We start from the raw sequence: 24,546 nt of genomic DNA on the forward strand, positions 1-24,546 counted from the left end.
GCTGTGGCGTGCTCCTGAAGCCAGAATTGCCTGTGTGTGAGTGACAACTCAGGAGGGTCTCTCCTAGACACTTGTTAAGTCACCAGGGGGTTTCTAGTAAAAATAACACAAGCCGTAGAGAACTCTGGACTTGTCAAAGTGCCTTCTTATCCCTTATCACATGATTTCATTTCAGGCCTGGTGTAATCTTTTTTTTTTTTTTTTTTTTTGGAGACAGAGTCTCGCTCAGGCTGGAGTGCAGTGGCGCAATCTTGGCTCACTGCAACCTCCGCCTCCCCGGTTCAAGTGATTCTCCTGCCTCAGCCTCCCGAGTAGCACCTGCCACCATGCCTGGCTAATTTTGGTATTTTTAGTAGAGATGGGGTTTCGCCATGTAGGCCAGGCTGGTCTCAAACTCCTGACCTCGGGTGATCCTTCCACCTTGGCCTCCCAAAGTGCTGGGGTTACAGGTGTGAGCCACCATGCCCGGCTGTAATCTTAAATGCTTTAAATAAATAAATGACTGTGTTTATTGTTAAAAATCTAAAAAAATACAAACAGACATAAGAACAATAATTTTAAAATTTCATGATCCTTGAAGTATTTGTTTTGTCAAAATATTAGAAAATTTTATTGCTATTGTTATAAAATTTATTTTTTCACCAAATATTTTATTGTTTCCTTTCCTTTTTTTTTTTTTGAGACAGTGTCTCACTCCGTCACCCAGGCTGGAGTGCAGTGTCATGATCTCTGCTCAGTGCAGCCTCTGCCTCCCAGGTTCAAGTGATTCTCCTGCCTCAGCCTCCTGAGTAGCTGGAATTACAGGCAGGCACCACCGTGCCCTGCTAATTTTGTATTTTTAGTAGAGATGGGGTTTCACCATATTGGCTAGGCTGGTCTCGAACTCCTGACCTCAAGTGGTCCACCTGCCTCGGCCTCCTAAAGTGCTGGGATTACAGGCGTGAACCACCGTGCCCAGCCAGCCTTTCCTCTTTATATGTCTTTAAATATTCTTCACAAGCATTATTGTAAAAGACTATATAATATTCCATGTGTGACTATATCATAATTAATTAAACCATTCTCCTGCAGTGTCATGTTAATGGACATTTATGTGGTTTTTGAAATTTTGCTATTATAAATCTGTGACAAGCATTGTGTGACATATATATATCTTTGCCCCCAATTCTGACAATTTCCTTGGATTAGATTCCTAGAAGGAGACTTACTGTGTCAAAAGATTTTTTGGGGGCAGGGTTCTTAAAATGTAGCACCAAATTGCTTTCTAATGTAAGGTGCTGTTAGTTTATACCTGTGTCCACATAGAGTAATATTACTTTTTTGAAGTTTTTGCTAACTTAATAGTTTAAAAATGACTTAAAAATTATTTATGGCACATTTTTATTTGTTTGTGTTTTTGTGGTCATTAATTTGCATTTATCTTGTGAATTTTCCATGTATATTTTGTTGATTTTTCCATTGGCATTCTAGTTGTTTTCTTATCAATTTGACTGACTCTATATATTCAGATCAATCTTTCTTTTTATTACAAATGTTTTCAAGTTTGTAATGAGGCTTTTTAGTTTACTTTATTATGTTTATGAGAATTTGAAATATTTCAATTTTTCTTTGGTCAAAGGTATTAATTTTTCTTTATCTTTCTTACTTTCATGTCTTTTATCCTTCTAGAGCTTGTTTCACTGCATTTTAAGAGCCAATATTTATCTTTGCTTTCTTCTAGATTTTTATGGCTTTGCTTTTTATGTTTAGCTCTTTAATCCTCTGTAATTTATTTTGGAATCAAGTATGACGTGAAGATCTAAACTTATTTCATTTTCTAAATTGTTAACCAATTGCCTTATTACCAGTTAATCCATAATTTTTTTCTTTCCTTGCTGCTAGGAGCTGCCATTTTATTATCTGCTGACTCTACATATGTACCTAGCATGTTTATGTCCTAAGCTCTGCTGTTAGGCTAATTTTCTTTTTCCTCTTTCATTGACTTATCTAATAATTTTTGCGCTGCAGCCATACTGGTTTCTATAAGGATTATAACCTTGTATTATAATATTTTTTTGCAGGGACAGTCTCCTCTCATTTCACTTAATTCTCAAAATCTTCTTGGCTACCTTCATCTCTTCATTTTTTCCAGATGAAAATTAGAATAATTTAGAAATTTAGAATAACTTGATCAAGGCCTAGATTTCCATAGTTTAAAAAAATTGCATTACATTTATACATTAATCTGGGGAAGAATGAACATCATTATAATATTATAATATGTCTTATAATAGTTAGAAGTCTTATAATAATTATTATAAGAAGACTTATGGGCCGGGTGTGGTGGCTCATGTCTGTAATCCCAGCATTTTGGGAGGCTGAGGCAGGTGGATCACCTGAGGTCAGGAGTTCAAGACCAGCCTGGCCAACATGATGAAACCCCGTCTCTACTAAAAATACAAAAATTAGCCAAGTGTGGTGGCGCACACCTGTAATCCCAGCTACTTGGGAGGCTGAAGCAGGAGAATTGCTTGAACCTGGGAGGCAGAGGTTGCAATGAGCCAAGATCGCACCACTGCACTTCAGCCTGGGCGACAGAGTGAGACTGTGTCTCAAAAAAAAAAAAAAAAAAAAAAGAAGACTTATAATAGGCCTTCTCCTCTGAGAATATGTTGCATCACCCATTTATTTAAGTCTTCTTTATATCTCTGAAATGTTTTATTATTTGTCCATGTTGTCCTGCTCATTTACTATTAAGGTAATTCACATTTACAATATTTGTGGCTACTGTCAATGGTATCTTCTTTTCCAAATGTTATGCTCTTACTTGTTCTTGTTGGTACATGGAAAAAGTAATTTTAAAAAGTATACTGTACATATATATTTATTTTGCATTTAGTATTAGTAGAATTTGAGTATTATTATTCTAATAGGTTTTTTGGGTTTGTGTTTTGAGAAATTTTTTAGGTAGGCAAAAGTATGCTATCTGACAATTGTATCTCCTCCCTTCTGTTTGCTATCCCTCATATCTTCTCATGTCTAATTGTATTATATTTGCTGAGGCCCACAGAATAGTGTTACATAATGGGAGTATTTAAGTAATAATGGGAGTAATAATCCCTATTAAGTTAATATATATTATTGATTTTTTTTACATTTTGATGGAATACTTCTGGTTTCTCACTAGGTAGTATGTTGGCTGATTTGAGAAAGGTTTCTGTTTTTGTTTTAATCAAGGTAGGAAAGTGTCTTATTTCTAGTTTACTTACAGGTTTTTTAAATGAGTTCTTTATGTAACATTTTATTGAATCTTCTTTTCTATGTTTTTTTTTGTTTGTTTTTTTTTTTGAGAAAGAGTCTTGGTCTGTCACCCAGGCTGGAGTGCAGTGGTGCTATCTTGTCTCACTGCAACCTCCACCTCCGTGGTTCAAATGATTCTCATGCCTCAGCCTCCTGAGTAACTGGGACTACAGGGGTGCGCCACCATACCTGGCTAACTTTTGTATTTTTTAGTAGAGATGGGGTTTCACCATGTTGCCCAGGCTGGCTTTGAACTCCTGGCCTCAAGTGATATGCCCGCCTTGGCCTCTAAAAGTCCTGGGATTACAGGCATGAGCCACCGTGTCCAGCCTCTTTTCTATTCTTTTAAAAATAATTGTATGGTGTTTCTCATTTAACTTATTGATATGATGTCTTATATTAGCAGGTTTTCTAATATTAAATCATGTCCACATTCCAGGAATAAAAATTACCTGATCATGGCCTATTCATGTTTTCATTTAAAGCTGCTTTTGCTTTGCTAGTATTTTACTTTGGATTTTTGTGTCAATATAACAGATTGTTAAGAAGGCAAGATCTGGAATGAGGCTGCCTGGGTTTGAATCCTGGACTTGCCATCTCTGGCTGTGTGCCCTTGGGCAAGTTCTTTCCCTCTCTGATTCTCCACAAAAAATGGGATAGTACTGGCATCCAGCTCAGCTCCTAGGGTTATAAGAATTCAATAAGAGCAATATGTGTAAAGTATTTCTACATTTATCTCATCCAAACCTAATGACCTTATGAATTAGGCATTGCCAGCTTCGTTTAATAAAATAGAAAACTGAGGCTCAGAAAGGTTAAGTGACTTGCTCAAAGTCACACCGCTGCTGAATTGCTGGTGAGATATGTCTTCTCCACTTCTCTTTGCCATCTCTCAGTAATTGAGAGCCATTTGCAGTTCTTCAAGGAGCAAACAGTTCAACATCTGCTTGCCTTAGACATACAATTTCCCTTGTTCTGAAGGACCATATTTTCTTTGTCTGAAAAACTTCTACTCATCCTTCAAAACCCAGGTCAAGTATCTCTTCCCCTATGCAGACTTTGTGCCTCATTGGAGAGATTCTGTAAGTTACCATGGCATCTAATGCTTATATTTTTATACCTGTCACACCATTTTGCAGTGGTTTCATCCTCCCCCAGGGTCCTAGGCCTCCGAGAAGGGTTCACCCCCATCTGTTGAACTGAGTGGAGAAGGAGTGTGGCATGGGAGAAAGGGCCCATGTTTTGGAGACCAACTGGAATCTAATTCTCAGCTCCACCAATACCAACAACTTATCTTTCTCCTCCCCAGACTCATTTTCCTCTTCTGTAAAATAGGAATAATATCTCAACCTCACAAGGCAGTTGTGGAAATCACATGTGGGTAAAGCCCTCAGCTCAGCACCCAACACATAGTAAGTGCTCAATAAACATTGTTCCTCTTTTCCCCCTTTTTCCTTTTCCTTTTTTTCCCTCTCCTCTGACACCTCTTTCTCCATGGGAGAACCACAAGCTTCCCGGCCAGGGGCCATTTCCCACACATCTTTCTCCCCACTAGCATCTGGCATGAGCCAAATAAGAAATGCTTCTTGATCAAGTCTCCCCACAACCTTGTGAAAAAGGAAGGGATTTGTGTACCCATTTTACAGAAGATGAAACTGAGGCCCTAAGGAGAAAAGGACCTGCCTAAGGTCACAGAGGTGAGTAAGCAGTAGAGCCAGCACCAGAACCTAAATTCCTTGACCTAATTTCTACTCAAAGGCATTGTTTCTCTGGCCCTAAAATGGCTGCACTTATAGAAATGCATTCCTCAACTTGCACCCTCTGGGACTGTGCCAACAGGTAGATGTTGAAAGAAAAGCAATGAGCCAAACCACACTCTTCCATTGTTTTTGGCATTTAATTATGTTACCCTCTCATAGCATCTGGGGGCTGAGTTCAGCACTGGGGCTGTGGTGTCAGCCAATCCTAGGATGAAATCCCAGCTCTGCCACTTTATGAGTTGAGTGATAAAAAACAAGTGACAGAATCAGGAGTTTTGTTTGACCCTTTGTTTTCCAAACTTGGCAGCATAATGAACAACCTGAGCAAGACCAACAACAGCAACACCAACAATCGGACTTGCCTAAGAGTTTCAGGAGACACATCTTTATCCTGGCTTTAAAGATGAGAAAATCAAGGCACCAAGATGCTAAGTAAATTGCCCGGATTTACAGCCATGGCACAGAAGAGCTAGATTGCAAACCTGGGCCACCTGGCTGCAGACGCTACTTGGTTTTTCTCGTGAGGGATGGGCTAGAGTTCTGAGGAAACGCTTGTGGGTGTGTGAGAGACCCTTGCTGGATGACAATTGGCCCCTTTCTGTCCAGAGTTAACACCCGAATCTTCAGAGGTACAAAAATCAAAGCAGCAGTAAGGAGCAGTGTGGCTCCAGGGAACTGACTGGCCTGGAGCCTGTATTACCAAAGGCAGCAAGAAAACACCAGGCTCTGGCCAGGCAGGCTTCGGTTCTGATCTCAGATCTTGGACTAGCTCCGAGGCCTGGCCCAGGGCAAGTCACCTCATCCTCAAGCCTCAGTTTCCTTGTCCAAGAAATGGGATAATAATAAGGAGCTGGTGTGAGGTTTGGCCCCCTTTGCTTTTTCACACCCTATAGTGGGTCATAGCCCAGGCTTGGCAGTTTAGCTTTAGGAGGAGGTCCTCTCCTCACTGCCCTCCCTCGCCAAGTCCTCAGGTACCTGCCTTGTTCTTGCCAACGTCTCAACAGTGCTCTTTCCTCCTGTCTTTGATCTCCAAACCACTCTGCCTCCGCGACCAGAATCTTCGTCTACCAGTGCCATTCCCCAGCCAGGAAGTCAGCAACTCCCCGCCTCTACCCGTCCTGACGCTGACCCTCTCCACGTGCACACACGTGCATCCACATACAAATGATCTTGGTTTGGGTTCTTCCAAAAGCGGAGTCAAGGACTCAAGGGCAAGTAGTTCGTTTGAGAGATGTCCCAGAAAACACCAGTGGGGAGAAGAGAAGTGAGAGTGAGAGGGAGGGTGCCCAGTACAGACGGGGGTATTCTCAAGCCAGTGGCCACTGTGGGTGCCAGGGCTCAACCCTCCTGGGAAATCCCAGGAAAGAGTCTAGAACTTCGATCTCAGAGCCGTGCCATTTGAGGGCCAGGGGGCTGGGCTATGACTCACGAGCTCTTGCCAATCACTGGGTGAGGGCTGCTCCCCAGGGTTGTTAATTCCTGGCACTACCAGTCTTTTCATGCCTGGGGAGCGCAGACTCCAGTGGCCACAGTTAGGTTCCAGCTGAAGGGATTCTGACGGTGGCAGACGGAAGCTGGCAAGACAAAGGGCCAGGGCAGGGCACCGACAGACTCTGCTACAAGGGTGGGCCTCGCACATGGAGGGCATTTGCATCTCTTGGACGGCCTGATAAGCACAGATTTCTGGGCCCCACACTCAGAGTGTCGGCTTCAGGAGGACTGGGGCGGGGCCCGGAGTCTGCATTTTTACCAAGTGCCTAAGTGGTATGCTGCTGGTTGTCCAGGGTCCACAGTGAAAACCACCGTGCTGCGCACACACACACACACACACACACACACACACACACACACACACACACACACAACCTGCCAAATAAAGTCCAAATGTCTCCGCCTAGTGTTCAAGCCACTCTGTCATCTCCTCTAAATACAGTTGCAATGTTATCTCCCGCAGGCCCCCTGCAGATATTGATGGCTTTTTTGTGCTGTCTCTGGAACCTGCTCTCTTCTTTCTGGCCTCTATATCTTGGCTTGCTCTGTTCTCTGCTGAAATATCCTTTGTCTGCCATTCCTGCCTTTTGAGACTGTGCCCATCCTTTAATTTCAATAGCTTACCTCTTTTCTTCAGTCCTTCCCTTGTCCCAACTCCTTCCCCTCGTCCACTTGCTCTGGGCCTTCATAACCCCTTATCTGGGCCTCTCCAGCAGCACTTGTGGCTGCCTACCTTTATCCTTAGGAAATAAGTGCTTGATTTATCCTCTTCGTAACACCCTACAAATCACTCTGTCAAAGAAGATCTCTTGATTTTCAAAGCCACCCTGGGACATAGGGAGTTGGGTGGTATTATTAGCTCTATTTTGCAGATGAGGTTGAGAGAAGCCAAGTAATTAGCCCAAGGCCACACAGCTGGAACTGGTTGATCAGGCTTTGACTTTGGGTCTTCTAGGTGGAAATTCTGCATTCTGCTCTCCCTCTTGTCTCCTCCCTGCTCTACTGGCAGCCCTCGAGGGCAGAGGCGGAAATACCTTCAATCAATATTTGTTGGATGAGTGGATGGGATGAGTTGGAATGGACTGGAATCTTCTTTGAGTTGTTCCCAGAATAGGCTCTTATAGAAAAGCTTGGCCTTTGGTTGACAAAATGCCTTAAATCCTTCATGTTGCCTCAGAGAACAGTTACCCATCTTCCCCTCTAGAACCCAGAAATTGCAGACTCTAAAATCCCTGTCTGGGGTCAGACCACCCTTTCTCAAGCTTTGCTTCATGATGAACCAACATCCTTGAGCCATCCCCTTCCCCTGCCAGCAAGGCTGAGAAACTCCATGGTCATCTTATCCCTCCAGGTGGCCCCCAATCATCTTCCCATCGTCCCAGAACCATCAGCAAAATCCTAGGAAATGTGGTTACTTCCAGTGAGCAAGGGATACCCATGACTTGTGACTTATAGAAATAAAGGGTCTTGGGGAGAGTGAATCGAAACAAGGGAGAGAAAGGGGTGGGTGGGTGGATGGTGCTTCTTGCAGGGATTGGCCTTTGTCTGCAATGTCTGGGCAGAGGGGGACCCTGTTCGTGGTCCTTGAAAAGGGAGTTCAGTGTGAGGGGACCTGACCTATAGTCAAGAGATCTGGGCACACTTTATCTCTCTGAGCCTTGATCTACCTGTGTACCCTGACTTCCTCAAAGGGCAATTTTAAGAGCCAGATGAGATAATGATTATGCAGGTAGTTTATAAATCACAAAGCCCCATACTATATCAAAACCAAATTCTTATTATACAGACAGGGAAGCCGATTCCCATAGAAGTGACCCAAGACGCACAGTTGATCAGCATCCCAGCATTCACTGGGATATGCCTTACCATCCCCAGGCTCCCAGCTTCTCTGTGCTGACAAGGGATGGAGCCCTGGAGTCTGGGGCTAAAGCTCCAGATCTGGCGCCACCTCTGGTACCAGCCTACCGTGTAATCTCGGGCCAGTTACTTCATGTCTCTGGACTTCAGCTTCTTCGTTTTTTTCTTTTCAAAGAGCCCTCTTTCCTTATTTTCCTGATTGTCCTCCCTGCCAGCTACCTCATTCATAACATCTTTAGCCACCATCTTTCTCTATGACCTCAAATCCATATCTCCAGCCCCGTTTTTATTCTTTGCCCCAGAACCTACTGTATGCCTATGAAACACTCAACAGGTACCAAATGGAACCCAGGTCTTTCCCCACAAACCTGAACCTCTTCCTGTATTTCTTGTCTTAATGAATAATATCATTTCATGTGACTCAACCACATGACAGATGATGAGGAAACTGAGGTCCAGAGAGGCTAAGAGGCTTGCCCAATTTACACAGCAATCGGTTGACAGAGATATTAATAGAACTAGAGCTCAAATTTCCTGACTCAGGGCCAGATGTGCCATTCTACTCTCTTCCATTTGACTGGGGAGTGACTTGAAAATATTTTCATTAGTCTCTCAATGACAGGTTTGTGTTAGTCAGGATAGGTTGGGCTATGGTGCAGGAATAATAAGCCCTGGCATCTCAGTGGCTTAGCACTATAATGATGATTATGTTTTTCTTTCTTTCTTTCTTTCTTCCTTCCTTCCTTCCTTCCTTCCTTCCTTCCTTCCTTCCTTCCTTCCTTCCTTCCTTCCTCTTTCTTTCTTTCTTTCTTTCTTTCTTTCTTTCTTTCTTTCTTTCTTTCTTTCTTTCTTTCTGTCTCTCTCTCTCTCTCTTTCTTTCTTTCATAGAGTCTCTCTCTGTCACCAGGCTGCAATGCAGTGGCATAATCTTGGCTCACTGCAGCCTCTGCCTCCCGGGTTCAAGCGATTCTCCTACCTCAGCCTCTCAAGGAGCTGGGATTACAGGTGCCCGCCACCACACCCGGCTAATCTTTGTATTTTAGTAGAGACGGGGGCATCACCATGTTGGCCAGGCTGGTCTCAAACTCCTGACCTCAAGTTATCCACCTGACTTGGCCTCCCAAAGTGCTGGAATTATAGGGGTGAGCCACCACGATCGGCCTATAATGATGATTTCTCATTCATGGATGGTCCAATGTGGGTTGGGTAGCTGTATTAGGGAACACCAGGTAAACAGAATCAATAGGATCTGTCTATTATATATAGTATAAACGCGTGTGTGGCACACACACACATATAAATAGGATCTATAAAGAGATTTATTATCAGGTACTGGCTCACATGATTATGGAGGCTGAGCAGTCCCTTGATCTGTTGTCTACAAGCTGGAGACCCAGGAAAGCTGTGGTGTAGTTCAATGGCCTGAGAGCCAGAGAGCTGATAGTATAGATTCCGGTCTGCATTTGAAAGCCTGAGAACTAGGAGTGTCAAGGGCAGGAGATCAGTGTCCCAGCTCAGCAGTCAGGCAGAGCGGAGCGAGTCCTCCTTTCCTCTACCTCTTTGTTCCATTCGGGCCTTCAGTGGGTTGGATGATACCCACCTACATCAGGCAGGGCAGATGCACTTCACTCAGTCGACAAATTCATATGCGAATCTCTTCTAGAAACACCCTCACAGTCACATCCAGAAATCATGTTTCACCTGATATCTGGGCATCCTGTGATCCATTCAGGTTGACACATAAAATTAACCATCACAGTAGCTTTCTTCTTCTGTAGGTACATTCATTGAAATACATGACCAGGACAGAGGGCCAGAGAGAGGAAGAAGACATGCTGGCTCCTAGCTTCAATCTGGAAGCTACAGACCATCGGCCTGAACTAGCAACGTGGTCTCAACCCTTTCACACAAGAGTCTGGGAAAGGTAGCATGTGGTCACACAGTGAGCATGAACAGTCCTTGCTACAGGTATTGACCTACCATATGCCAGGGGAGACCAAAACCAAACCATGCAGAGGAAAAAATACCCTCTGCTGTCAAGAAGGTCACTGCATCTGGGCAAGGCCAGGTATGTTTTTGGTGTCTAAGAAAGGGCCCCACCCTGGGGAAGCCCTGAAGGAGTCTGGGGCCTGCACACAGATGATGGCCAGGGCTGTGGAGGGGTCTCAGTTGGAGAGGTGGCAGTGGAGCAGGGCTGGATGAAGGGGAGTGGGCTGCAGAGGTGAGAAGCAGAGGGGAAGGTGGTGGGAAGGAGAGGAGGAGGGAGGAGGAAGAGCTTCCTGGAGACCTGGTGCATCTAAGCCAAGTTAAGTCCCATAAGCCTGCTGTCAGCTGGGGTGGCTGGGTGGGTTGTGCTGGGGGCTGGCCCTGCCCCTGTGCTGCAGAAAGACCTCAGGGCCTTGTGCTCTCTCAAGGGATGGGCTGGGAGGCAGAACTTGATGGGGCCTGTTAGAGATGTTACAGGCCCAGTGCGGGAAGCTGTTTTGATTAAATTTGGGAGCATAATTGCAGGGTTTGTGCTGCGGTCTCATTATGGCTTTTTAAATCTTGTTAACCTCTCCTCCCCATCTCCCAGCCCCCCTCGCTTCCCTCCACAACCACAGGCTGTGGCCTTAGAACAATACCAGGAATAGTTTCTGTCTCTCCCTCACGGCTTTCTCCTACTCCCCCAGATTAGATCCTGGAGGCCAAATGGACTGAAGGAAGGAAGCAGGGAGGAAGGCCCAGTGAGCGGAGTGGGGGTTTCATGGGGCTTAGTCACCTGGAGTGCCTCTTGGTTCGGTCCCCTTGCATCCAGCAGGGTGTCTGGTGCTTTGAGAGACACAAAGGGGTATTAGGCTTGATTTTAAGTGATTGTCCGAGTGAGTGGAGATGGGTTCAGGAATTTGAGAGTGGCTGGAAGGGATGGGCTCAGGAGGGGTGGCAGTGGCCTGGAAGGTTAGGAGGAAGTGGAGAACAAGGGAAGAGCTTGGAATGGGCAAAGGTGCGAGGTGCCAGCTCTGCACAGGGATTCCATTAGGCAGGAGAGGCCAGGCTATGGCGCAGTCACAAATAAGCCCTGGCAGCTCAGCAGCTTCATACAATAATGGAGGTGCACTTCTTGTTCTTGAAAAGTCTTGGTGGATTGAGTGCAGAGGGATGGCTAAGTGTGGCTATGGAGTAGGGGTGGACTGAGAGAATGGACTGTTTGGTGCCCAGGGAGGGCGTGCTGGCAGATGAGGCCAGTGCAATGGGGCGAGGTGGGGGATGAGGGTCTCCAGGCCTCTGGCTGCCATGGCTTCAGTGGTGTGGCACTGGTCTGTGAGCTCCCCTGGGGAGTGGATGCCACCCCCAGTGGGGCTGAAGGGGCAAGGTGTTGCCTGGGGAACCAGGGCTGAGGCAGCGGCCTGGGCTGTGGGGAGAAGGGGAGAGCAGGCTGGGTGGGAAGCCTGGCTCCACCCCTGCGGCTGTCTCTCCCCAGGGGCTTTCTGGCCACTCCTCTTCTCCATCTGCTTCCCCTCCCACCTCATGACTCAATCACTGTCTTCAGTCCTGACTCTGTCCTGAACTCGCCAAGCTGCGCCCATTGCCTCCCTGTAGGGTCATGGCACTTTTAGCCATCCAGAGTGCAGGCCTCAACCCAGACTTTCCATCACAGATGCCCCTCTGGCCCCCACCCCATCATCCAAATGTTGATTTTGTGGATTCCTCCTGCTAAATCTCAGCTGCATCCAACCTTCCCTGTCCTGGGCCATCTGCTCACTGCTGGGCCATGTGGTCACCTTCTCACTGGTCTTTCAGCAGCTGCCCTTGCACCCTCCTCCCCCCAGTTCTTGACACTGTAGCCATAGAGGGTTATTTCCAAAATCTGGTCATACCATTTCCTGCTTCGAACCCTTCTCTGACTCCCTCCTGGCCCCCAAGGTCCTTCACCGCAAGTTCCCGCGTATTTCATCTCCAGCTTCTCAAGGATCTCAGCAGTCTAGCAAACCAAGTCGTCCGAATGCATCATGCTTTTTTTGCAGCTCTGAGCAGCGTCGTGTAAAGCGGAGCTTAACTAGTCCTCAGATGCCACCTCTTTAAGAAGCCCCCCGGGTCTCACAGATAAAACAATCTCCCCCATCCTTTAAGCACTTTGCAATAGCCCTCACTTTCTAGCCTGTATTGCAGCAAATTACATCCATGTTTCCTCTGTTCCACCAACTGCAAGCTCCTCACGGGCAGGGCCATCCTATTCACCACCAGCATGCTTGCCCAGATTCCACAGCCGGCACTCGGAAGGAGTGCAGGAGGGCCCCCACCTTACTGAATGAGTGAGTGAGTGAGTGAGAGCTGCTGCTGGGGCTGGGCTTTCTGTGGGAGCTGGCAGGGAAGAGTGATCAGGGACTAAACACTGGGGAACCTTTAGGGCAGAGCCTGGGCGTCGGAGCTAAGGCTTGTTGAACACTTCTAGAGCTCCAGACACTGCTGGGCAGGGAGGTCTTTCCATCAGAAGACAGAGAAGGCCCGGTCAGAGGAGGAGGAGGAGAGCCAGGGGCCACGGGCAAGCAGCACGCTGCCTCCTAGCAGGGTCCCACTCACATGGTGGGGGAGGACACGTGTGTGGGCAGCTCCCTTGGGGCAGGAGCTGAGCCAGATATGGGAATATTGCCCTCCCCCAGGGCTGTCCTGCCGGTGTGGGGCTGTGCCTCAACAGCCATCTTGGGAAACACTGGCTTAGTTCTTCACGGCCCGGGGTGTACTAGGGGCATTCCCCAGAGCAAAGAACAAGGGGCAGCTAAGCCATGATCCCTACTCTGTGCCAGAATGTTCATACCATCCATGGGGTCCTCTGTCTGTCCATCAAGGCCTTTGCCTCCTGCCCCTCAGCCTGTCTCTTGCCTCAGCCCAGAAAGCCTCTTCCTTCATGCATTGAGCCAGGTCTCACTCACCTTCAAGGCCTTTCTTCCAGGAAGATTTATGGGACTTGCCAACCTCCTCCTGCCACACTCTCGCCCTGTCAGTGCCAGTATACTGGTCTACTCTAGCTGCATAGCTGTCTCGGGGAGACCAAGCAGAAGGAAACAGAGAGCAAGCATTCTCTCTGTGTGGCCCCAAGAACAGCCGGCTCTTCTGTCTTCTCTGCACATTTGTGAAACTGAGCTGGGGTGGTAGGATGAGGGCTGGACCGGGAGTCAGGACACCTAGCTCCTGGACCTGGCTTGGTTGAAGGCCTGAGCAAGCCACTTTCCTCTCTGACCTTCAGTTTCCCCATCAGTAGAATGGTGAGGTTGGGCCTGGGGGGCCTCGAAGGGCCTTCTAGCTCTGACATCACTGAACATAGACGCCTACCACAGCAGCAGCTGGTTGACGAGAGCCCAAGGGATGGTCACTGGTTACCCCAGGCAGGGTTGTCTGAGCAGTGTTCCAGATGCAGGATGGCTGGGCCTCCCCAGGGGTGCAGATTTTCAGTGCCAGGAGCAAGATGCTGGCCAGGAAAGAGGGAGCAAAGGTTACTGGAGGTCAAGAGCAGAGCAACAGGTGGAACCAATGGCCTGTGTTTGCCAACCCAGGCTGGGGTGAGAGGGAAGAGAGCACTGGGCAACCTGGCCAATCAGAATGAGCATGACACTGGAGGTCTGGGTTCGAGCTGCGCTCTATCACTCAGTAGTGACAGGACTTTGGGTTAGTCATCCAAATACCTCTGGGTCCAGGTTCCCACCGTAAAATGGGGGAGAACAATTTCTACCTCACAAGGCTGTTGTGAGCATTAAATGATAGCACATGCTTGAAATGGTTTAGTAGCATCTGAGCTTAGCACATCATAGGTGCTCAATAAGTCCTCATTCTTTCTCTCCTCCTACCCTCTCCAGTTTCCACCAAATACATTTGCTGATCTGGCACCAGTGAGCCATACGATGGTGAATGTCAGGTCTTCCATTCCACCTGCCAAGGTGTCCGCTCAGCATGCCACAGTCCCAACACTGTGCTGTGCTTGCTTTCTTGGGGTGTCTGGTGTGGTCTTTTCCTTCAAGGCACTTAGAGTCTGCTGGAGAGACAAGACCACATTCATACTTACACAGACTAAGAAATGGATAAATGACATTTCTCCATTACCTGGCTTTGTTGTAGGCCTGGGAAAGCCAATTTCAATGTCATTGTCCCAAGAAATGGATAAATGACATTTCTCCAAGAAATGGCCCATGGATAATTCAGAGCGTGGTGGTTCCGTATGAACCATAAGCACTAGAGAGATGGGGGTTTCAGAAAGCAGGGTTCAGTCTGGATGGGAGTAACCAGAGCAGTGGAGAGGCTAGGCTGCCTGTAGCCAGCTGAGTTGAGAGTAGCAGGGCTGGATTGGGACTGGGACGGGCTAGACATGGGTCAACTGCTGAGGCCAGAGGGTCTCCAGGGCACGGTGAAGCTAGGGCTTGAGGCATGCTTCTGTGGGGAGAGCCCTGGAATGCTAGATTGCAGGAGTCCAGCTCTCATGGCTAAGCCTCCTGAGCTCAGGCATGTGGAGCATGATCTTCTTCCAGGTAGCAGGTGGACAAATGGCCTTTCAACTTTTGCCAGGATTGGCTGGCATAGGATGGAGCTGATGAGAACAACTGTGGGCTATGAGGAGATGGGAGGGTGGGGCAGGAGCCAAGGTGGGGGCTACTCCCTGGACAGAAATTCAACTCCACCTCCATCTGTCATGGACCACCCCTGGCCACACAAAGGCCAAGGAAATGGGATTAACACGTGCTCAGCACCTATATGGTGCCAAGCCCATGCCTGACACTTCACCTTCAGAGGCCCATTTTCCTCATGCTGGCTCTATTATCTTCAGATCCCAGATAAGGAAACTGAGGCTTAGGGGGGGTCAAGGCCCAGAGTCTTGCAGAGAGGTGGTAGATTGAAGCCCTGCAGTCTTCCTCCTGTACCATGCTGCATCTCCATGACTTAAAGGTTGCATGCTAAGGCTTAGCATGGACTCCAGCTCTCCGCCATCTACCTCCTAGGTTGAAACTCAGCCCATCGCTGTTGAAAGCTTGCACCATGCCCTAGGCCGTGTTCCTCATTTCATCAGCCACAGTCCTGCTGGCTCATGCCTGGTTACACACGCAGCCCCCTGGAGGGCAGGGGCTGGGTCTCATTCCCGAGCCCAGTGCAGCCCTGGCACAATTCCTTCCCAGAAGCGATTCTGGTAATTGGAGTGAGTGGTGGGTGGAACTACCCCACCCAGGCAGGTGTGTTTCTGGAATCCATGGCTGAGGTGGTTGTTGACAAGTCCGGGAGGGAGAGAGGGCGAGGAACTGCCTGCTTCCCCCAAACAGGAATTTTTCCTAATGGGCTGAGTTCTCAGCTGATGAGAGAGATGTTGGACGGACCCTAACAAGAGAAGGCTCTACATGCAGCACCGAGTGAGTAATTAGATACTAACTAATTTGCATTTCACAAGAGAGTCAGGGATGTTGGGGGAAAAAAAGCTGCAAAGGCCTATTGGAGAAGGGAACGCTGGGGACAAGAAGCCCCGACAGAGCCAAGGAGGAGCGGCGGTGCAGGCGTGCTGCCGGGCATTCGGTGGCACAGCTGTGGAGATGGCGGGACGGGGGCAGAAGGTCTGAAGGTCCCTGCAATGCCCTCGATGGCTCCAAACAGCAGCCTGGGCTGCCTACCATTGCCTTGGGATGCTTTTTTATTTCCATTTGGAATGGCCAGGAGGGAGACAGGAAGAAACTGAGACAGAGATGCATAGATAACTCCCAGTTTCTAGAGTAGGGTTAACAAAGTTTATCTGTAAAGGGTCACCTGGTAAATATTTTAGGCCTTGTGGGCCGTACACTTTCTGTCACATATTCTTTGTAAAAGGTACAAAAATCATTCCCAACCAAAACAGACCACTGCTGGCCTTGATGTCTGGGTCTAGAGCTTCGTTCTCAAAATGGAACGTAAGGCCCAATATCCATTCTGCATGTCTAACAAGTTCCCAGGTGAGCATAGAACCCACTTTAATTACGGAGAGTGTGAGATCACTCTGCAGTGTGGGGCCTGCACTGGGAGGCCAGCCATTTAGGAACTGCTGATGGAAGATGCCTGCCTTGTTTGCAGAGCACAGTGGTAGCTGTAGGTCCACACACTCGGAGCTCCTTCCCGAGAAGGCCCTGCTGCCCATCTGCAGGGAGTGTAGCAGGCAGGCAGCCCCAGCTGTCAGCTCCTTCAGGGTGTCTACCTCAGCTGCAGACACCCACCTCCTTTGAAGTCATGCCCTCCCTGGGGTAGCCTGCATCTGGCGACTGAGCAGGATGCGAGTGGAAAGTCCTGGCTACTTCAGCTAGACACAGGATGACCCCCTGCTAGGTGACTGGGGCTTGGTCAAACCCGCATTGCAGTTTGCCTTCAATCTCCTTTGGCTTAATCCAACTTCTCTCCTTTTCTTTCACTGGTGCAGATCTTTAATAAACCCCTGGGACCCCAAACTCCCTCCCAGAGTTCACTCCCACAGAACCAGCCTGTGACATAGGCAATGGGAGCGCATCCTGGTTGAGGGCAATGGTGGCCACAGGTTGGGGCTTGGCACCAGCAAGATTCGCCTGGGGGCAACTACACACCACTGTGGAAACTAGAGGCATCTCAGGTCTAAGACCTCCCAGCAGTCCCAGCATGGCCAGGAGGAGGCGGGGCAGATGGAAGCAGGAGCGCAGTGGTTCAGGGTCTGTTAACCTGGTCTGGCCTCGGCCAAAGGGGCTAATGTGCTGTGTGGCTCTGTGCAAATCACTGCTGCTCTCTGGGTCTGTATTTCCTCAAAAGTAAAATGGGCCTCACGAGCCACTATACTGGCTGGTTTTCCTGTGGCTGCTGTAACAAATCACCCCAAACTTGGTGGCTTAAAACAACAGAGGTTTATTTCACAGTTCTGGAGGACAGAAGTCAAAAATCAGCATCACTGGGCTAAAATCAAGGAGCCGGCAGGGCTGTGCTTCCTCTGGAGGCTTTAGAGGAAAATTTATTCTCACTTCTTCCAGATTCTGGGAGCTGCTAGCATCCTTTGGCTTGTGGCCTCATCACTCCGATCTTCAATATCAGCATCTTCAGATCTTTCTCAATTCCCATCACTGTCTCTCTTCTGTGTGTCAAATTTCCCTCTGCCCGTCTCTTGTAAGGACACTTGTGATTGCATTTAGGACACACCCTGATCATCCAGGATAATCTCCCCATCTCAGATTCTCTAACTTAATCACATCTGCAAAGACTTTTTTTTTTTTTTCTCCAAATGAGGTCACATTTACAGCTCCAGGATTAGGACCTGCTGTCTTTGGGTGCCGCTATTCAGCCGACTCCTCTTGCCATCTGTCTTCCTCATAGGCTTTTCAGCTCTGCTTGAGTTCTCCTTCCTGAGCTGCAGTTCTAGATGCTGGCCCATACCATTTGCTTGCACAGCTCAGATATTCTCATTCTGCCAAAAATTATTTTTAATGTATATTGATTAAATATATGGCTGTTCTGCTCACACTGTTGGTCTTATTGGCAACTTCCACAACTAATATTTACTGAGCACATACTGTATGCTCCGTGTTTTACTCGAATTATCATTCTCCCGCCCAAGGAGGTAAGTACTGTTATAATCCGCATCATGCAGGTAGGGAGACCAGGGACAGAGAAGTGAAGTGGCCCATGTCCACCGACATGGTGCTGGGAGCGGGAACGCTCTGGTTGTCTGAGTAAAGGTCCTTCTCATCTCCCACACATACTCCCTCCCCAGCATGAATAGGGCTTCTATTTGGAACTATTTACAAAGTCCGGTTGTTTTTGAACTTTGGAACAAATTTCCTATCAGATTCTACACATTGCAGACATAACACAGGAAGGGCTGTTCTAGAAAGCTGAAGATCCAATTCTAAGAGCCAGGGGGATGCGGTTCGTTTTGGGCTGCATTTGTGACTTCTGCCATCAAGCCAAGCCCAGGCAGGGAGGAAGGGGCATCCCAGGCTCTCATCTGCCCGTTTGACAGCACATCTCCATGGCTCTTAATTACTCTTCCAACTTTGAACTGTTTGGGACTTTGAAGATCAGCCCTTGTTCCTGTTAAATGTTTAGGTTGAGCTTCTGGGTTCAGCGATTTATTCATCAGCAAATGAGCCAGCACACGTTGCTAGTCATAGACACTTGTATTTACGCTTTGTCCTGACTTCAATTTCAGACCCTAGAAGTACTTATATGTAAAAAATTGTGTCAGTCCACGTAAGAAAACTACTGTGGGAGTGTTTACAAATGATTATCTTGTGCATAAGCTTCTAAGATTATCTTCTAAAACCATAAAGTGCTCGCATCAGCAGCACACAGACTAAAAAACTGGAACAATACAGAGAAGATTAGCATGGCCCCTGTGCAAGGATGACAAAACTCATGAAGTGTTCCATATAGATTTTTAAAATCCCATAAGTAGAAAAGTGGATGGGCCCCTTTAAGAGTATCGCCGTCGAGAGGGAACTGAATTTTAAAAACAAGCATGCAAGCAAACCTCAAGGTTAAAACGTATGAAGCTGGTCTATGCACATCTTATTGCTCTGGATGGGAAGAGCAGCAGAGCAAATGGGCTTCAGGGGGTTGGGGGCATGGAGCATTTGCCAAGCTGGTGCCAAGAATGGATGCAGGCACATGGGAAGGAAGGGTTGTGCTGGCCATGGGGGGCTTTGTAGACAACACCGAGGGCTTGAACTTAATTTTCAAGGCCACAGGGCACCTCTGCAAGATTTTAAGCTGAACAGTGACGTGTTCATGTGCTTTAGAAATATTTTTCTGGCTGTGATAATGGCCACAGCAAGAGGTGAAGAGGGCCTGGATTCCTGTTGATAAACAGTAAGGACTGGGTTTGAGCGAGAGGCCAGTCCAGCTAGGAGTTGGCTATAGAGGGGGAGCAGGGGGAGAAGGGGAGAAAGACGTCCCTGTGCAACTTGAGTGAGTGTGGGCACGGTGGAGTCTTTCCCAGAGATGGGACACCAGGATGCAGAGAACCAGCCGGACCGTGCACGTGGGAAGAAAGCGCAAAGGCAGTTTCACCAAGAGGGGAGCTACAGGTTGGGAAGAGGCTATGGCTGAGATGGATAGAAAGTGCATGCTGTCCCCTCTGTCATGAGGCAGGATGCCGAAAACTGCAGCTGGGCAGAGGCACAGATTGAGGAGGTGGCCGCAGCAGGCACCAATGGGAGAACTCTGGGTCAGAAGCCAAAAGTCTAGGCCTATTCCGTCCTGACTCACCACACACCTTCGGCAAGGCACATTCTTTCTCTGCCTCAGTTTCCTCATCTGCAAAACCCCGGAGTTGAATCACATTGAGGGTTCCTCAAAGGAGATGGGCTGGTGAGGGACATCCTTGAGCCCCTGGAAACGATGTGCAAAATTGTGTGCCTATGCCCCCTTTTGCAGAGGGGCTGGCAGGGCCACCTGAGGAGGGAAGTGACATCAGATGTCATAGGCCACACCTGCAGTTGGAGACATGCTGGTAAAAATTGCTCTCTACGTATGCCCAGGATGAGTCTCATCTCACCCAACCAGTTCCTGGAAGGCAGAGATCTAGGTCATAGGATGTGTCTCGACACCCCATGGGGGTCTTGCAATACCTGTGGAGCCAAATGTGCTGGCATGGAGGAGCCTCAGCACATCTGGGTCTTCTAGGAGAGACCCCGTCCCCTGGTCAGTCCAGGCACGTGCTCCCTACTGGAGCCCCTGGGGCCTGTCTCTCCCTTCTCCACCCTGCAAACTCCTGCTCCTTCTCCGTGCAGCCTTTTCTGTTCCCCTGGAGCAGCCCTGATTTCTCGCTGCATTGGGATTTCCCAGGCGAGGTGTCTATACCTCATGCGCAGCCTACTTTTCGCCTATCTGGGATGGAGGTTGTTTGCATGTTCCCTCCTCTTTCCTTCCTTCCTCTGCCACATAGGCCTGTTTTTGGCAGGGACCATGTCTTAGGCACCTCAGTGTCCCTAAGTGTCTCTCTCAGTGACTGACACATACTTGGTACTCCATAAAAGTTTCTGTAGTTGTCTTAACTTATGGAATGACTGCCAGCAAAGTATTTCTTGTTTCCAACCCAGGCTCCTCACTTGCCCTGCTTCCCTGAGAGCTGCTGGGAGGACCAGCAGCAGTGGCCAGCACTTGCAGTGCCTGGCAGCATTTGCAAGGTCCCTCATGGGTCCTTTCCCACAGGGTCCCAGGATGATGAGCGTGAAATGAGACCAATAAAAGATTGCACAAATCTTGTTGGACTCACACATAGGATGGAAAGCAATATCCATGTCTGAAACATGTTGGAGCAGGCCTTCCACCAAGCCCTTTAGAAAAAGGGTTGTATGTGTTGTGTAGAGCAAACCTGGCTGACAGGCATTAGCATGCCCATTTTACAGATGGTGAAACGGGATCTGAGAATTTACGAGCCTTGCTCAAGCTTCCACAGCTATGCCAATGCCGCCAGCCCGCCATCCCTGGGGTTGGAGCCAGGGCATGTGGGGTGATGTTTTTCTTGGTCGTGAGCAGATGGGCTAGTGCCCTACCTGCACAGTCTCACCGTAGCTCACCCTCCCATACATCCTGTTAAAGGTCCAGCCAAGATCCACTTCCCTCCCTCGTTTTCTTGCCTGGGTTTTGCCTAGTTCCTTCTCTTCATGCACCACAGGACGCACTCTGAGCAGGCGGGGAGGCCCGTGAGCCTGGCAAACAAGCTATTTGCTCTGGGAGGTGGGCTGCTTCTGAGGACAGCACAGGGTTTCTGGGACAGTGCTGAGGAAGTCACCCACAGCCTGGCTCCCTGGCTGAGTGGACGGTTGAGGTGGCCAGAGGAACTTAGAAGTGGCCCTCCAGTCTCAGGGGGAAAGGCTGGAGGGCTGGAAAGAAAGCAAACTCTGTGATTGAGCTGTGGGAAGCCTGGCCTGAGCCCCAGGGCCTTGCTGATGGCAGGCTGACTGCTGGGGCACCCCCAGACAGGCCAACGGAGCCAAGCCGACAGCCGGGAGAGAGGCCTGCTCTCCCACACACGTGGGAATGAGGGCTGCTGAGTCACTGCCCAGCTGGACGCAGCTCCCACTGAAGGCTGGAAGGAAGGCAGGAGAGTATTCCCAGCCAGGCTGGTGGCCTCAGGACACCCTGAAGTTAGCTGAGCCCTCTAAATGGGCCATGGTAGCCCGGGCTGCCCCTCGCCCTGCTGAACTGATGCATATTTGCCTCTTGCCGGCTTCTGGGGAGCTCCAACCAGGCAAACAGCCCTTCAGACAGGACATTGGATTAGAGGTCAGATCCCTGAACTTTGGAAAAAAACAATCCCAGGGCAAGTCACTTCATCTCCCATGTCCTCACCTTTCCTCTCAGTTACATGGTGAGGCCAACAGGGAATACGGGAAAGGTCTTCACAGGTTGCCCTGCATATAATAGGATTCAGGCAGGCTAATGGCTCTGCTCCAAGCCTTCCCCTGAGGAAGGGACAGCAGCCCGGCCCCCTCCTCCCCTGGCCTGCCACTGTTCCCCCCTTAGCCAGTGTCATCCCTGCCGTGTGCCCTTCAGAGCAACCAGGCCCCTCCCAGGGAGAGTTCCTGGGGAGGAGCTGGGGTCACCTCCCGACCCGGGCCTGGCCTGGAATCCACCTTTCACCTCGGGCAGTGGGCAGAGGAGGGCACTGGCCCTGCAGGCGGAGGCTTCTCTCCCCTCCAGCACCAGCAGCACCCGCTGGGAGGCCCAGGTGTTGTGCAACTTGAGAAGCAGCTAAGCCAGTGGACCACTCTGCCAGGACAAGAATCAACAGGAAACCTCCCCGCGCATCTCGTTCACATTCCAGGGGCACCGAGTCCAGCCCAGAGACACCGTAACAAGACACCACTCTGGCTGGCGTTGCCTGTGACACAAACCAATCTTTTATCTGCCATCTAAGCCTCCCAATTTGCATGCCAGTGACGTACCTTCCACCGCAGGGTGCTTTCCAAACCTTCTAGTGAGGCTGTGCCTCCTGAGCTCTGAGCAAACAGGGAGTAAGCGATCCTTTAGACACAGGAAGGCTTTGCTAATGATCGTCAGGCATGAGCCCTTCAAGGAAGGGACCCGTCTGTAGGCCCCAGCAGAGGACCTGACACCAGTGGGTGCCTAGGGAGCACTTAGTGGCAGTTCACTGAGCAAGCCACATCTCTGGGGATTAAAGAAAAGAAGGTGAAGCAGAATCTGGTTAAATGGGCCCATGTGTGCTTGGAGGAATCCCCCCCACCTCTCTCTCTCTATCACATATGCACGGGCCCTCCCCCTCCACACACGCATCACTGAGTTATTTCTCATGATTGGAGCATGATGCTGTGGCAATACGGAATTCAAGCCTTTTATCTCTCAGGCCCAGGATGGGAAAAGGACTCACTCAAAGTCACCCAGCAGATTAGTGACAGCACTTTTGATGTTTATTATTTTGTATTTTCCCATGTCCTGCCATTTCATCGCACAATTGTCCTCCTTCTCCATCCCACTCCCAGCCAAGTCCCTGCATCTGCTGCACTCGCCACTAGTTCCCAGTACTGTGTTTGAAATGCTTAGGGAAAGGGGATTGCTGGCAGAGGGAAGAGCACGTGCAAGCTCCCTGAGGCAGCAGGGAGCAAATGAGGTGAGCACCCCACTCCCGCCAGTGAGCAGGACTCAGAGAAGTGGGGGTCAGTGGGGGTAGGTGGGAGTCGGAATAAGATCCGACTTCATAAAGTTTGTTTCTGGATGTGGAGCTAGCAGCCCATGGGGCCAACTTGCTGCCTTCAGGCAGGTGAGTCTCCCTGCTTGTGACTAAGGAAGCTTCTGTAGTCCTGAGGCACGGAGGATCTGGGCATGAGCCTGCTGGGATGTGGGAAAGGGGCGTGTGAGAGAACCCACATCTCCTGCTTCCTAGGTCAGAGCACCAAGGAAGGCTTCCTGGAAGGGGCAGACTTTGTGTGGGGCCCAGAGGAGAGCTGTGTGAGCACCCTGGACAAGCTCTACGGATCTGGGTCAGGAGTGATGCAGGAGGTCACACCACAGGCGTCTTCCTGGACTGAGCACAGCTGCCCCCAGGTGTGCCTCAGGCACTGGGCCCAGCCTGACGTGTCTCAACAGGGTGGGGTTGGCCAGAGGCTGGCATGGGTGTGTGTTAGGGGAAACCAGCGGAGGAAAGGTGAGCCAGGGCTCCCTGACGTGACCTGAGAGATAACCCTGAGGTCAACCTGTAAGGGCCCCGGGGAGGAAAGGTGAAGGGAGCCTGGCGCCCTTGCTGGTTGTGAAATGATGACATCTGCTGTGGGTCTGGAACAAACACATAGTTTGCCACAGACCCTGATCCTTGGGGACCCTGCGGTCAGTGCAATTGGAGTTCAATACACACACGCACACACACACACACACATGCACGCATTGCGTACCTACTGTGGCCAGGCATTGTTAGAAGTGGTGGAGCCTCTAGGAACTCAAGAGTACAGAGAAGACCCATGCACTGCTCAGAGAACACAGGCAATAGAGTTTTGCTCGAGGAGTATTATTTTTAAAGTGCTACTGAAGCTCTCAGGAGGGAGAAAGGAATTCTGGTTGGAAAAGGCCAGGAGCAGCTCTGGTTAGATGCAAATGAGACATGAGTTGGGGCTGAACCATCAGGGTGGGGAGGAGGTGGGGTGGGGCAGGCATTTCTGGCAGTGGGAACAGGTTAGGCTCAGAGCATGGCGGAACAGGGAGGGGTCTTGTGTGCATGGAGCTGGAAACTGCGGTGAGGAGTGTGGGAGGTGAGGCTGTGCAGCTGAGAGGGAGGGTACCAGAGCTTTCTATTTTCCCGACATCCTCTGTTTTAGGCCAAGCCATCACACTTTTGGGATCCATAGCCTCAAGACTTCCACATCTGGGGAGGATATTCAGGGGTGGGCTGGATCCAGACTGTCATTCTCAAACCCAGGCGTGCATCCAAAACCCCAAGGGGTCCATTGAAACAGAGTCTCCCCCATATTCCCCCAGGGATTATGATTCAGTTGGTTGGGTGTAGGGCCTGTGAGTTTGCATTTCAAACTAGTTCCCAGGTGATGCCGATGCAGCTGATTGGTCTGTGGACCACACTTTTAGTAGCACCGGTCTAGTTTGCTCCCATGGGATCCCCTGGGCAGTTCCTGTTGGGAGGTCTCACCCCACTTAGCCCAGTTGTTTCTGGGACTGTCTTTGGGGCTCAGAGGCCTTGTGTGGGAGAAATGAA

The 24,546-nt window shown here is 49.3% G+C and overlaps 1 pseudogene, besides 8 other annotated features; it reads left to right on the plus strand.

Moving 5' to 3' along the window:
- Positions 6,006-6,589: an enhancer, noted in NCBI's record as "H3K4me1 hESC enhancer chr15:70472929-70473512 (GRCh37/hg19 assembly coordinates)". NCBI's record gives its function as "activates a minimal SCP1, AML or CMV promoter by ChIP-STARR-seq in naive H9 embryonic stem cells {active_cell/tissue: H9 hESC(naive)}" and the evidence as "EXISTENCE:reporter gene assay evidence [ECO:0000049][PMID:30033119]".
- Positions 6,590-7,173: an enhancer, noted in NCBI's record as "H3K4me1 hESC enhancer chr15:70473513-70474096 (GRCh37/hg19 assembly coordinates)". NCBI's record gives its function as "activates a minimal SCP1, AML or CMV promoter by ChIP-STARR-seq in naive H9 embryonic stem cells {active_cell/tissue: H9 hESC(naive)}" and the evidence as "EXISTENCE:reporter gene assay evidence [ECO:0000049][PMID:30033119]".
- Positions 12,333-12,833: an enhancer, noted in NCBI's record as "H3K4me1 hESC enhancer chr15:70479256-70479756 (GRCh37/hg19 assembly coordinates)". NCBI's record gives its function as "activates a minimal SCP1, AML or CMV promoter by ChIP-STARR-seq in primed H9 embryonic stem cells {active_cell/tissue: H9 hESC(primed)}" and the evidence as "EXISTENCE:reporter gene assay evidence [ECO:0000049][PMID:30033119]".
- Positions 16,038-16,540: an enhancer, noted in NCBI's record as "H3K4me1 hESC enhancer chr15:70482961-70483463 (GRCh37/hg19 assembly coordinates)". NCBI's record gives its function as "activates a minimal SCP1, AML or CMV promoter by ChIP-STARR-seq in primed H9 embryonic stem cells {active_cell/tissue: H9 hESC(primed)}" and the evidence as "EXISTENCE:reporter gene assay evidence [ECO:0000049][PMID:30033119]".
- RNU6-745P (RNA, U6 small nuclear 745, pseudogene) lies at positions 18,652-18,757 on the plus strand (annotated as a pseudogene).
- Positions 21,560-22,343: an enhancer, noted in NCBI's record as "H3K27ac-H3K4me1 hESC enhancer chr15:70488483-70489266 (GRCh37/hg19 assembly coordinates)". NCBI's record gives its function as "activates a minimal SCP1, AML or CMV promoter by ChIP-STARR-seq in naive and primed H9 embryonic stem cells {active_cell/tissue: H9 hESC(naive and primed)}" and the evidence as "EXISTENCE:reporter gene assay evidence [ECO:0000049][PMID:30033119]".
- Positions 21,560-22,419: a biological region, named in NCBI's record as "H3K27ac-H3K4me1 hESC enhancer GRCh37_chr15:70488483-70489266".
- Positions 22,140-22,419: an enhancer, noted in NCBI's record as "active region_9674". NCBI's record gives its function as "activates an Ori minimal core promoter by ATAC-STARR-seq in GM12878 lymphoblastoid cells {active_cell/tissue: GM12878}" and the evidence as "EXISTENCE:reporter gene assay evidence [ECO:0000049][PMID:35858748]".
- Positions 22,490-22,549: an enhancer, noted in NCBI's record as "active region_9675". NCBI's record gives its function as "activates an Ori minimal core promoter by ATAC-STARR-seq in GM12878 lymphoblastoid cells {active_cell/tissue: GM12878}" and the evidence as "EXISTENCE:reporter gene assay evidence [ECO:0000049][PMID:35858748]".

This window comes from Homo sapiens, chromosome 15 (genome assembly GCF_000001405.40).
Source record: "Homo sapiens chromosome 15, GRCh38.p14 Primary Assembly".
In the NCBI taxonomy this organism is placed as follows: Eukaryota; Metazoa; Chordata; class Mammalia; order Primates; family Hominidae; genus Homo; species Homo sapiens.